This window comes from Homo sapiens, chromosome 7, assembly GCF_000001405.40.
Source record: "Homo sapiens chromosome 7, GRCh38.p14 Primary Assembly".
Taxonomy (NCBI): domain Eukaryota; kingdom Metazoa; phylum Chordata; class Mammalia; order Primates; family Hominidae; genus Homo; species Homo sapiens.
The window spans coordinates 148864401-148877004 of record NC_000007.14 but is presented as its reverse complement, the minus strand read 5'-3'; the positions used below and the strand labels follow the sequence as shown (position 1 = coordinate 148877004).

Genomic DNA, 12604 nt, shown 5'->3' with positions numbered 1-12604 from the left:
TATAGATACTATAATATCGAGAGATGGAGAGATTAAGTAACAACTAGTTAGTGGTAGAGGAAGGATTTTAATTTGGGTACGTTAGCTTCAAAGTCCTGATCTCCCAGCCAGGGATCATTTTTGGTAAGGCCTGTGAGCTGGAAACGTTAACACTTTTAAAAGAGTTGTAAAACAATACCACCCCACTTCCCTGAAGAACATATAAGGGAGACTAGATACCGCCTGCCAAGCCTAAAATACTTACCATGTGGCCCTTTACAGAGAAAGTTTGCTGCCCCTTGCTCTAAGCCATCCAGCTGTACCTCTTTGGTGTAAGGGGGGTGCATAGTATTCCAGTTTATGAATGTGCATTACGCAGCAAACCAATCTGTTGTGATTGACATTGTTTTCTCTCCTGAAAAGAAGTGAACATCCTTATGTATCTTTGAACATTTGTGTGACAATTTTCTATAGAGTTGGCTCTTTCAAGATTATGAACATTTCTAGTTTTAATAGGTGTTGTCAAGTTATATTAATTTTTAGTTAAAACAACAACTGTATTGAAGTATAATTTACATACAATAAAAAGCACACATTTGAAGGGTATGATTTGAGGAGTTTTGACAAATGTATGCACCTGCACCGCTGCCTGGATCAAGATCTATAATGGTTGCCATCATCTCAGAGTCCTTTCATCCTCTTTTACAGTCATTCTCTCAACTTTTTTTTTTTTCCCTCCAAGATGGAGTCTTGCTCTGTCACCCAGGCTGGAGTGCAATGGCATGATCTCGGCTCACTGCAACCTCCGCCTCCTGGGTTCAAGCAATTCTCCTGCCTCAGTCTCCCGAGTAGCTGGGATTACAGGCGTCTGCCACCACACCCAGCTAATTTTTGTAGTTTTAGGCGAGATCTCAGCTCACTGCAACCTTGACCTCCTGGGCTCAATCGAACCTCTCACCTCAGCCTCCCAAGTAGCTAGGACCACAGGCATGTACCACCATGCCCAGCTAACATTTATTATTAATATTTTTTTGTAGAGATGGGGTTTTCCTGTGTCGCCCAGGATGGTTTCCAACTCCTGGGCTCAAATGATTCTGCCTTGGCCTCCCAAAGTGTTGGGATTACAGGCATGAGCCGCGGCACCTGACTTGTAGTAAACTCTCTGAATTAATATTCCATTGTAGGCATGTGCTACAGTTTTTAAATTCATTTACCCATGGATGGACACATAGGACTGTTGTCAGCTGTTGATAAAGCTGCTATCACCATTTGTATGTCTTTCCTGGACATGTTTTAGTGGTAAATATTGATTTTACTTTGTAAGAAACCGTTAAACTCTTTTCCAAAATAGTTGTACCATTTTAAATTGAAAGTTACAGTTGTAACTGTGCAGGAGTTACAGTTTCTTCACATTTTCATTGACACTTCGTGTTGCCAGTCTTTTAAATTTTGGCCATCAAATGAGTATTAAGTATCTCATTGTGGGTTTGTGTTTCTCAGATGATCAATGATGTTGGAACATCTTTTCATATGCTTATTGGCCATTTGTGTACTTTTTTTGGTTCAAGCCTTTTGTCCCTTTAAAAAATTGGATTGTTTGTCTGGTTGAGTGGCAAGAGGTCTTTATATGTTCTGGGTACATAGTCACATTATCTGTCAGATTGTGTTGCAAATATTTTATTGTTCATTTTTGTTTGATTTTGTGTATTTTTAATACTATAAAGATCAAGTTAAAACTTTAATATGGGAAGCATAATCAGATAAATTATGTGAAACAAATTGTCCTTAATTCACGAGTCATTTAATTAGTGTAACAAAATGTTATGCATTTGCAGAAACTTGTAAACTAAAAGGATATTATTCATATGCTGTTAGGTGTATGGATGATAATTTTTTTTAATTAAACTAGTTTTGAAAATTATTGTATTTAGTAATTCTCTTCATTTTGCATAATTCAAACCTTTTCATTTATTAGTGAGTTAAGCCTTAAATTTTTTCTTCAAAGGATAAATGAGAATATTAAAAGTAAAAAGTGACCTTGATCTTAGAATGGGGTATGTAGAAATGATGATTGCCAAACTTAGTTTCCCTACTTTGACAATCAAGTAAAATTTTTTTTTTTTTTTTTTGAGACGGAGTCTTGCTCTGTCCCCCAGGCTGGAGTGCGGTGGCGCGATCTCGGCTCACTGCAAGCTCTGCCTCCTGGGTTCACGCTGTTCTCCTGCCTAAGCCTCCCGTAAATTTTTTTATTATAGAAATGGATGGCTTTTCAGATTATATATACTTGGTTTCTATACACTATTTTATTTTTGTAAAGTAGCAGTTCTTTTGCTCAACACCTGAATTGCCCCCACAATAAATTTTTAGTTTTTCTTCAATATTCAAGTAATACATAACTTTTCCTTTTCCTGTTTAACAAAGAAAAAAATATATAAAGCAAGCTGTTGGACCTCCATTGGGTGTTGTTTACCACCACTGTAGGTGATCGTGGCATTGTCCACCTCAGTCTTCTCATGGCTGTGGATTCAAGTTAAGAAATTCCTGAAGGTAGCATTCCAGGTAGTCTGTAGAACAGCCCAAACTCTCTGAATTAGTATTATCTCTGATAGGTGTTTTTTTTTTCTTTGCTTTTTTATTTGAGACGGGGTTTTGCTCTGTCACCCAGCCTGGATTTCAGTGGCACAATCTTGGCTTACTGCAACCTCCACCTCCTGGGCTGAAACAATCCTCCCACATCAGTCTCCTGAGTAGCTGGGACCACAGGCACATGCCACCATGCCCAGCTAATTTTTTATATTTTTGTTAGAGACAGAGTTTCACTATGTTGCCCAGGTTGGTCTCAAGATTCCTGAGCTCAAGCGATGTTCCCATCTTGGCCTCCCAAAGTGCTGGGATTACAGGCATGAGCCGCTGTGCCTGGCCCTGGTAGTTTTCTTCTTATATCTTTCTCCTGTTGATCTCACTTGATTTTCTTACTAGTCTACAGGAAATTTCACGTGGAGATTCTGTGCCTGTCCTCTTTCTGGAATATCTTCCTTATTTTAGCATCTCAACATGCTGTTCAGCTTCTGGCTTGAAACCACCCCTCTCCCATCCCAACCAAGTTAAGCAGCTTCTTTCCTGCTTAGAAGTACCATAACATGTGTATTAATCTTTTTTTTTTTCTCTCTCCTTCCCTTCATTTTAAGCTCCTTTTTATTAATCTGTAGGGCAGAGCTTAGAAAAAGGTTTTTGTATATTGTAAGTACTAATAAAATATTTGTGAAGTTGATTTGGGACTTGGGAGACCTCTCTTCTGTAAGCAACTCAATAAATAATTATTTAAGTACCATCCTCACCCAGTGTACTGTTAGCTGCTGTTATGATATTGATTACTGTAAAATTTTAAAGTATATCCTTGGTAGACTGTTGATCAAAGTCAGAAAGCTTGAGAAACTCTGAGGCAAAAAAAAAAAAAAAAAAAAAAAATGAAGAGCATGAAATGATTCTGCAAACTGATCTTACAATGATCTTTCTTTTTTTTTTTTTTTTTTTGAGACAGAGTCTCACTCTGTCACCCAGGCTGGCGTGCAGTGGCAGGATCTTGGCTCACTGCAGTCTCTGCCTCCCAGGTTCCAGTGATTCTCCTGCTTCAGCCTCCCAGGTAGCTGGGATTACAGGCACACGCCACTACGCCCGGCTAGTTTTTGTATTTTTAGTAGAGATGGGGTTTCACTATGTTGGCCAGACTGGTCTTGAACTCCTGACCTCAGGTGATCTGCCTGCCTTGGCCTTGCAAAGTGCTAGGATTACAGGCATGAGCCACCATGCCCGGCCTCTTTTTTTCTTTTTTCTTTTCTTTTTTGTACACAGTTTCACTCTGTTGCCCAGGCTGGAGTATAGTGGCGTGATCATAGCTCACTACATCCTCAGACTCCTGGGTTCAGGGGATCTTCCCATCTCAGCCTCCCAAGTAGCTAGGACTATAGACGTGAGACACGATGTCTGGCTAATTTTTTACATTTTTTATTTTTTGTAGAGTTGGGGTCTTATATGTTGCCCAGGGTGGCCTGCCACCTTGTCCTCCCAAAGCTGGGATTATAGGCTTGAATCAGATCCCAGTGATCTTTATCCCTCAGCTGCATTTATATGGGCTAAATTCATACATAGTATATCAAGATGTCTTCAGGAAGTTTAAAAAAAAAAAGGTATCAAAAAGACAGTATGTCATGACTGCTTTATCTATTTTAGTCTCTTAGTTTTTGATACTAAAGACTAGACCGGAGAAATGCTTTAACAAATCACAAAAATCTAAGAAAATAGACAGTTAATTATTTTTAAACAGTGGAAGAATTTCAATCATAATTAAAGCAGCTTTTGTATTTTTTGATGTCATAGCCTATAGTGAAATTTCATATATTCTGTTTGTAGATACATGAGTTCCTACGATATGCTTGCACATAATAGAACTAATTACTATTTGTTGAGAACCTAACCTGTACCTAATATACATGTAGTTTCTAAATCAAACATTTTACTTTTTTTAAAAATTGTAAAAAGCCCATAGTAAATTAATCATGTTTACCATTTAAAAATGTACAGTTCAGTAGTGTTAAATACATTCACATTGTTGCACAACAGATCTCTAGAACTTTTTTGTCTTGCAGAACTGAAATTCTGTACCCATTGAGCACTAATTCCCACTTCCCCCTCCCCCCAAATTCTTGGCAGCCACCTTTCTACTTTCTGTTTCCATGATTTTTGACTGTTTTAGATACTTACATGCATGGGATTAAACAGTATTTGCCCCTTTGTGATTAGCTTATTTTGCTTAGCATAATGTCATTGAGGTTCTTCCATGTTGTAGCATGTGACAGAATTTTTTTCTTTTCTGTAAAGGCTGTATACTATTTCGTTGTATGTATAGACTGCATTTTAAAATCCATTTATCTATTGGTGGACATTTGGGTTGCTTGGTGATTTGGTGATTCACTATTCATGGTTAGCCAGGAGTAATATGCAGTAAATGTTGGTATACAAATATCTCTTTGAGATCCTGCTTTGAATTCTTTTGGATATATGGTTGCCCATTGAACAACACAGCTTTGAACTATGTGGATCCATCTATAAGTGGATTTTTTTCAACCAGCCATAGATAGAAAATATACTATTCGGCTGGGCGTGGTGGCTGATGCCTGTAATCCCAGCACTTGGGAGGCTGGGGTGGGAGGATCAGTTGAGGCCAGGAGTTCGAGACCAGCCTGGACAACATAGTGAGACCTCATCTCTACAAAAAATAAAAAAGTTAGCTAGGTGTGGTGGCATGCGCCTGTAGTTTCAGCTACTTAGGAGGCTGAGACAGGAGGATTGCTTGAGCCTGGGAGGTCGAGGCTGCAGTGAGCTGTTATTCATGCCATTGCACTCCAGCCAGGGCAACAGAACAAGACCCTGCTCAAAAAAAAAAAAAAAGAAAATACACTATTTGTGGGATGTGAAACTTGTGTATAGGGTGGGTGGGCTTTTTGTATATGCAGGTTCCATAGGTCAGATTTGGGGGTTTGAGTATGAGTGAATTTGGATGTATACAGGTGGTCCTGGAACCAGTCTTATTCTTCCTCTTCTTTTTTTTTTTTTTTTTTTTTTAATTATTCGTCTTTTATTTTTTGGAACCACTCTTCTGCATATGCTGTGGGATGACTGTATATCCAGAATTGTGATTGCTGGATCATATGGTAGTTCTATTTTAATGTTTTGAGTAACCTCAGTACTGTTTTCCATAATGGCTGCACGATTTTTACAGTCCTACCCACAGTGCACAAAGGTTTCGATGTCTCTGCATCCTTGCCAACACTTGTTATTTTCTGTTTCTTTTGGTAGTGGCCAACATAATGGGTGTGAGGTGCTATCTCATTGTGGTTTTGATTTGCATTAACAATGTTGAGTATCCTTCATGTTTATTCACCCCAAATATTTTACTTTTGAATTTATTGAAAATCATGCATTTTAATTATGTAAAACTCAATACCATGCATCATTTGTTAAATGGGAAAAGGAGAATTTGTCCTTATGACTATTATAAAATATTCTAATAAGGTGAACCTTTTTTTTTTTTTTCTTTGAGACAAGGTCTCGCTGTGTCATCCAGGCTGGAATGCAGTGGCGCAGTCTTGGCTTACTGCAGCCTCTGCCTCCTGGGTTCAAGTGATTCTCCTGCCTCAGCCTCCTGAGTAGTTGGTATTACAGGTATGCACCACCACACCTGGCTAATTTTTGCATTTTTATAGAGTCGGGGTTTCACCATGTTGGCCTGGCTGGTAATAAGATGAACTTTATACTTTTTTTTTTTTTTTTGAGACAGAGTCCCACTCTGTCACCTAGGTGCAGTGGCACGATGATGGCTCACTGCAGCCTTGACCTCCTGGGCTCAAGTGATCCTCCACCTCAGCCTCTCAGGTATCTGGGATTACAGGTATGCACCACCACCCCTAGCTAATTTTTGTATTTTTTTGTAGAGATGGGGTTTCGCCATGTTGCCCCGGCTGGTCTAGAACTCCTAGGATCAAGTGATCTCCCACCTTGGAGTCCCCAGGTGCTGGGATTACAGGCATGAGCCACTGCATTGGGCCAGAACTTTATACTTATTAAACAGTATGCTGATGATAGGAAAAAACTGTGCAATCCTTATTCATAAAATTCTGATCTAAAACGTGTTATATTAAAATTAATTAATAATGCAAGCAAAATTGGCAAATTTATTTGTAAACCCCATTTTGGGCTACTTCGAAAATTATTTATGGATCAGAAAAGGTTGGGAAATACTTTTCTAGAGTAATTGAGCAGGCCCTGTAGATGGCAGAAGTGTTGCTTGAACTGGCGTAGAGGAAGAAAGTGTTGAATTGCCCCACTTAATTCCTTAAGTAATTTTGCCTCTTTGGAGAATATTTGCCTGAAATAGAGAACTCAAGTTATGCTATGAAGATTCTTTTTGAAAAATAGAGACAGGGTCTCACATTGCCCAGGCTGGTCTCAAACTCGTGGGCTCAAGTGACCCTTTCACCTTGGCCTCCCAGAGTGCAGGGATTACAGGCATGAGCCATCATGCCAGACCAAGAAGATATTTTGGAGGGCTACATCCCACCAGTAGCTTGATGTTGTACAAAGAGTGGTAGGCTCTGGGCGAGGCTCTGCCATTATACTAGTTGTATTTCCTTGGCACGTAGCTTTTGTGGATCTCTCCTCTTCATGGTGACATGAATGAGATGAATAAATAATGGAACAACTTGTGTTTACTGAGTATCTACCATGTATGTGCCTGCAGAGAGGATGTCTTCATTTTGCAGATGAAGTAATTAGTAAATAACTTGCCTAGGTTCCCTCAGGTAGTGGGCCCTTGAAGAATGGGCTTTTATGGCCAAGTGCATTGGCTCACGCCAGTAATCCCAGCACTTTGAGCGGCTGAGGTGGGAGGATTGCTTGAGCCCAGGAGTTCAAGACCAGCCTGGACAACAAAGTGAGGCCCCATTTCTACAAAAAATTAGCCACATGTGGTGGCATTTGCCTGTAGTCCCAGCTGCATGGGAGAGTGAGGTGAGAGGGTCGCTTGAGCCCAGAAGGTAGAGACTGCAGTGAGCCGTGTTTGCACCCCTGCACTCCAGCCTGTGTGACAGAGTGAGACTGTGTCTCCAAAAAAAAAAAAAAAAAAAAAAAAGGCTATTGCTGCCTATAGGGTCCTTTTTAGTGCAAATACTAGGATTCTAAGCACTTGGTTTCTGTTACCCAGGTCAAACTATTTCTTTGGAGAGTTTGATTACCATCACAGGTGATGGTAAGATTCTCCCTAGCTGGCATTTAATCCAGTGGTTATATGCATCTTTCCCAAATTCTTTATCAAGTTGGTCAATTCATAGAACATCTAATGCTGATTATAAGCCTATTATCTTGCTTGTGTCTCTGCACTATGGGCATAATAGCACCTAAAAGCTTTTGCTATAATGGACTATGATGTATCTGAATAAATTACCTTTATAAACAATCAAATCTAAATTGGCAAGTTCAAATTTACCCAATTTTTCTTATAGAATTTACCTTTGCAGTTAAAGAAATAATTGTTTTTTACCATTTGTCTAGTATGACTTGTTATTTACAAATAGCATGTAACTGGCCAGCTGTACTATACACATTTTCTAGAAAAGAAAATTTCTTCAAATTTCTTATTGGGTGCCTTAGTCTTTTACCCATTAGGGCTATTCAAATAAAGAATGAGATATTCTCTTATTCTCTAGAAAGAGACATTCTATACTAATGGAAATACCAACTTTTAAATCTAGACTACCAAAAAAAAAGTCATGTTTTTCTACCCTAGAGGCTATAGATTCTTAATGTCAGCCACTCATCCTGGCCCTCTCATTTTCTTCTTTTCCCATATGGAAGTTCTAGGGTGATATAGTTTGGCTCTGTGGCCCCACCCAAATCACGCGTCAAATTGTAATCCCCAAAGTTGGAGGAGGGGTCTGGTGGGAAGTGATTGAATCATGGGGGCAGACTTTTCCCTTGCTGTTCTCCTGACAGTGAGTTCTCGTGACAGTGAGTTCTCGTGAGATCTGGTTGTTTAAAATTATGTAGCACCTGCCACTTTGCTCTCTCTTCCCCCTGCATCAGCCACGTATAATGTGCTGGCTTCCCCTTTGCTTTCCACTGTGATGATAAGTTTCCTGAGGCTTCCCCAGCCATGCTTCCTGTATAGCCTGCTGAACTGTAAGCAAATTAAACCTCTTTTCTTTATAAATTACCCACCCTCAGCTCTTTATAGCAATGTGAGAATGGACTAATACAGAAAATATGTACCACAGAAGTGGGGCATCACAATAAAGATACCTGAAAATGTGGATGCAGCTTTTGGACTGAGTAATGGGCACAGGTTGGTACAGTTTGGAGGGCTCAGAACAAGACAGGAAGATAAGGGAATGTTTGGAACTTCCTAGAGACTTGTTGAATGGTTTTGACCAAAATGCTGATAGTGATATGGACAGAGATGGCTAGGCTGATGAAGTCTCAGATGAAGATGAGGAACTTATTGGGGAACTGGAGTAAAAGTCACTCTTGCTATGTGTTAGCAAAGAGACTGGCAGCATTGTGCTCCTGCTCTAGGGATCTGTTGAACTTTAAACTTGAGATGTTTAGGGTATCTGGCGGAAGAAATTTCTAAAAGCAGCAACGTGTTCAAGAAGTGGCCTGGCTGCTTCTAAAAGCCTGTGCTCATTTGCATAAGCAAATAAATGACCTGAAACTGGAACTTAAATTTAAAAGGGAAGCAGAACATAAAAGTTTAGAAAATTTGCAGCCTGCCATGTGGTAGAAAAGAAAATCTCACTTTCTGGGGAGAAATTCAAGCTGGCTGCAGAAATTTACATAAGAGGACGATACATGGGGTAAAATGCTTTTTCCTCCCCTAAAAGCCTTGGTATTAATCTGGAAATAGCAGGAAGGTAACTGTAGGAATTATATAATGGGTTTCCCTGTGCTTGGTCATGTCTTTGTATCATTTCCATAGGTCAGTGGAGACTCAGAAAACCAGTTTCTCTGGGCTTTTGATAAGTAATGTTATAGTAATCAACAGATGGTAACTTTCGGTAAAACAAATTGTCTTCATCTGTTTTGTGCTGGTATAACGGAATATCTGAGACTGGGTAATTTTTAAAATTATTTATTTATTTATTTTTGAGATGGGAGTTTTGCTCTTTTTGCCCAGGCTGGACTACAATGGTGCGATCTCGGCCCACTGCAACCTCCGCCTCCTGGGTTCAAGTGATTCTCCTGCCTCAGCCTCCCGAGTAGCTGGGATTACAGTTGCCTACCACCATGCCTAGCTAATTTTGTATTTTTAGTAGAGACAGGGTTTCACCATGTTGGCCAGGCTGGTGTTGAACTCCTGCCCTCAGGTTATCTGCCTGCCTCGGCTTCCCAAAGTGCTGGGATTACAGGCGTGAGCCACCACGCCTGGCCAAGACTGGGTAATTTATAAAGAATAGAAGTTGGCCAGGCACAGTGGCTCACGTCTGTAATCCCAGCACTTTGGGAGGCTGAGGCGGGTGGATCACTTGAGGTTAGGAGTTCGAGACCAGCCTGGCCAACATGGTGAAACCCCATCTCTACCAAAAAATAAAAATTAGCCGGGTGCGTTGATGTGCACCTGTAGTCTCAGCTACTTGGAAGGCTGAGGTGGGAGAATCACTTGAACCCAGGAGGTGGAGGTTGCAGTGAGACAGAATTACGCCACTGCCCTCTAGCCCAGGCAACAGAGTGAGACCCTGTCTCACAAAAGGAATAAATATATATATATATGCATATATGTATATATATATGCATATACGTACATATATATGCATATACGTATATACGTATATGTATATGTATATATACATATATGCATATATATTATATATAATATATAGTGTATACAATATATGTATATACGTATATATATGTATATATGTATATATATGTATATACGTATATATATGTATATACACATATATATGTATATACGTATATATATTTTTCACAGTTTTGGGGGCTGGGAAGTTTAAGATCAAGGTACCTGCATCTCATGAAGGCTTTCTTACTGTGTCCTCTTATAGCAGAAGATAGAAGGGGCAAGCTGGGAATAACTCCCTCAGTCAGACTCTTGTATAAGGGCATTCACAAGGCAGGAACCGTCGTGGTCTAATCACCTCTGAAAGGCCCCATCTCTTAATACTGTTACATGGACAACACCTGAGTTTTTGAGGGACACCTTCAGACCATAGCACAGATACTGACAAGTCTCATCAATTATTAAGTAAATAGTACTTGAAGGGTTTGAAATTTTGTAGTACCCCGGCAGTGTGTTTATATTTGTGATAAATTTTAAGTATAGGAAAATCATGGAAAGACTTACTGCTCATAACTGCCGTACCTCGTTTACCTCTATCTTTCCCTAAACTACTACTGTTCTTAGCAAGATCATGAACTGTGGGGCCGACATAAGCCAGAGGAGTTTCTGAAGAGTCTGCTTCAGTGAGGGGTTCTGTTGATAGCCATAGAATAAAGAAATGGCACTTTGCAGACATTGGTACTTCCTTGAAAGAACTGGCTGTGGCATATACAGAACTCAAAAATTGAAATTACTAGATAATGGTTACTTGGTTTAGATTGCCTGGAAATTATGAGAGGTTCTGTAAATGCTTTGGGATTAGTAGTTTGAACCACCTAGTCCATTTTATGATTCTGTCTTCAGAATATAGAAGGAATTGCATCTTATTTGGGGATTAGGATATAAAGTTAGTGTACAAGGCAAAATAGCATGTAGGCAAAGTTACCCATGCAGAGTTTGTGGGAAGATGCCTTACCACAAACCAGTACCTTCTTTTTAGGTTCAAGACCAGCCCATTTTTCCTCTAGAATGAGAACAGATCATTGCTCTTCTGTTGAGCACAGAGTTGTTGGTTTGTACTTAAGGGCAATCCTGTTAGAATCACTCCTGAGTGGCTAAATATCTTCAGTCTGAGAGACTTGTCCAGCAGGTTATGGGAACAGCAGATTCATGTCACCTGTCTCTTGCTCACTTAGGCAAACGCTTAGTGTCTGGAATGGTGGGTAGAACCCTTGTATTTACTACCAAAATTGAGCTTTCTCTGACATTTTTGCTCAATGTATGTTAGATTTGTGTAAGTTAAATTAGATGTTGGCTTATGCGTGGTATAAGATTTAAAATAGACTTCTTAGCAAAAAGAACACCTGGTATCAGATTGACTTACCCCTTCATTTTGTTTGCTTTTATTCAGTGAAGTGTTGAAATAACAGGTATCTCATGTCTCATCTTTGAATTATAATGAATTTTGTATCATAGCTTTAGTTTCTGGTACTTTTTTTTTTTTTTTTTTGAGACAAGTCTCGCTCTGTCACCCAGGCTGAAGAGCAGTGGCGCGATCTCAGCTTAACGCATCCTCTGCCTCCTAGGTTCAAGCGATTCTCCTGCCTCAGACTCCCAAATAGCTGAGATCACAGGCACCTGCCACCATACCCGGCTAATTTTTGTATTTTTAGTAGAGATGGGGTTTTACCGTGTTGGCCAGGCTGATCTCCAACTCCTGACCTCAGGTGATTCGCCCGCCTTGGCCTCCCAAAGTGCTAGGATTACAGGCGTGAGCCACTTGGCCCCAGCCTCTGATACCTATTTTTTTCCGTTTTTCCTCCAACAGTGTTTCTGTAAACTGAGTATATACTCGATGAAATGAGAAGATTTAACTTATAAAATCGATTTAGTATAGTTTTCAAGAAAAACTTAAACTTTTTTTTTCTTTTTTTCCTTTTTTTTTTTTTTTTGAGACAGTCTCACTGTGATTGCCCAGGCTGGAGTGCAGTGGCACAATCTTGGCTCACTGCAGCCTTGGCCTCCTGGGCTCAGGTGATTGGTTCTCCCACCTCAGCCTCCAGAGTATCTTGGACTATAGGCACATGCCATCACGCCTGGCTAATTTGTATTTTTAGTAGAGACAGGGTTTCACCATATTGTCCAGGCTGGTCTCAAACTCCTGGACTCAGGCAATCTGCCTGCCTTAGCCTCCCAAAGTGCTGGGATTACAGGTGTGAGCCATGGCCCCCAGCT

The 12604-nt window shown here is 40.0% G+C and overlaps 1 protein-coding gene across 23 annotated transcripts in view; it reads left to right on the top strand.

Annotated features, from left to right (window-relative positions):
- Positions 1 to 12604, top strand: part of EZH2 (enhancer of zeste 2 polycomb repressive complex 2 subunit) — a 76909-nt gene that overhangs the window by 7287 nt on the left and 57018 nt on the right. The window contains exon 1 of one of the 23 annotated variants that reach the window (XM_047419991.1): positions 8597 to 8712. The exons of the other annotated variants lie outside the window; for them this stretch is intronic. The gene's annotated coding sequence lies outside the window, so the exon portion shown is untranslated. Of the gene's footprint in view, positions 1 to 8596; positions 8713 to 12604 lie in introns of those variants that run through there. 23 annotated transcript variants of the gene reach the window in all.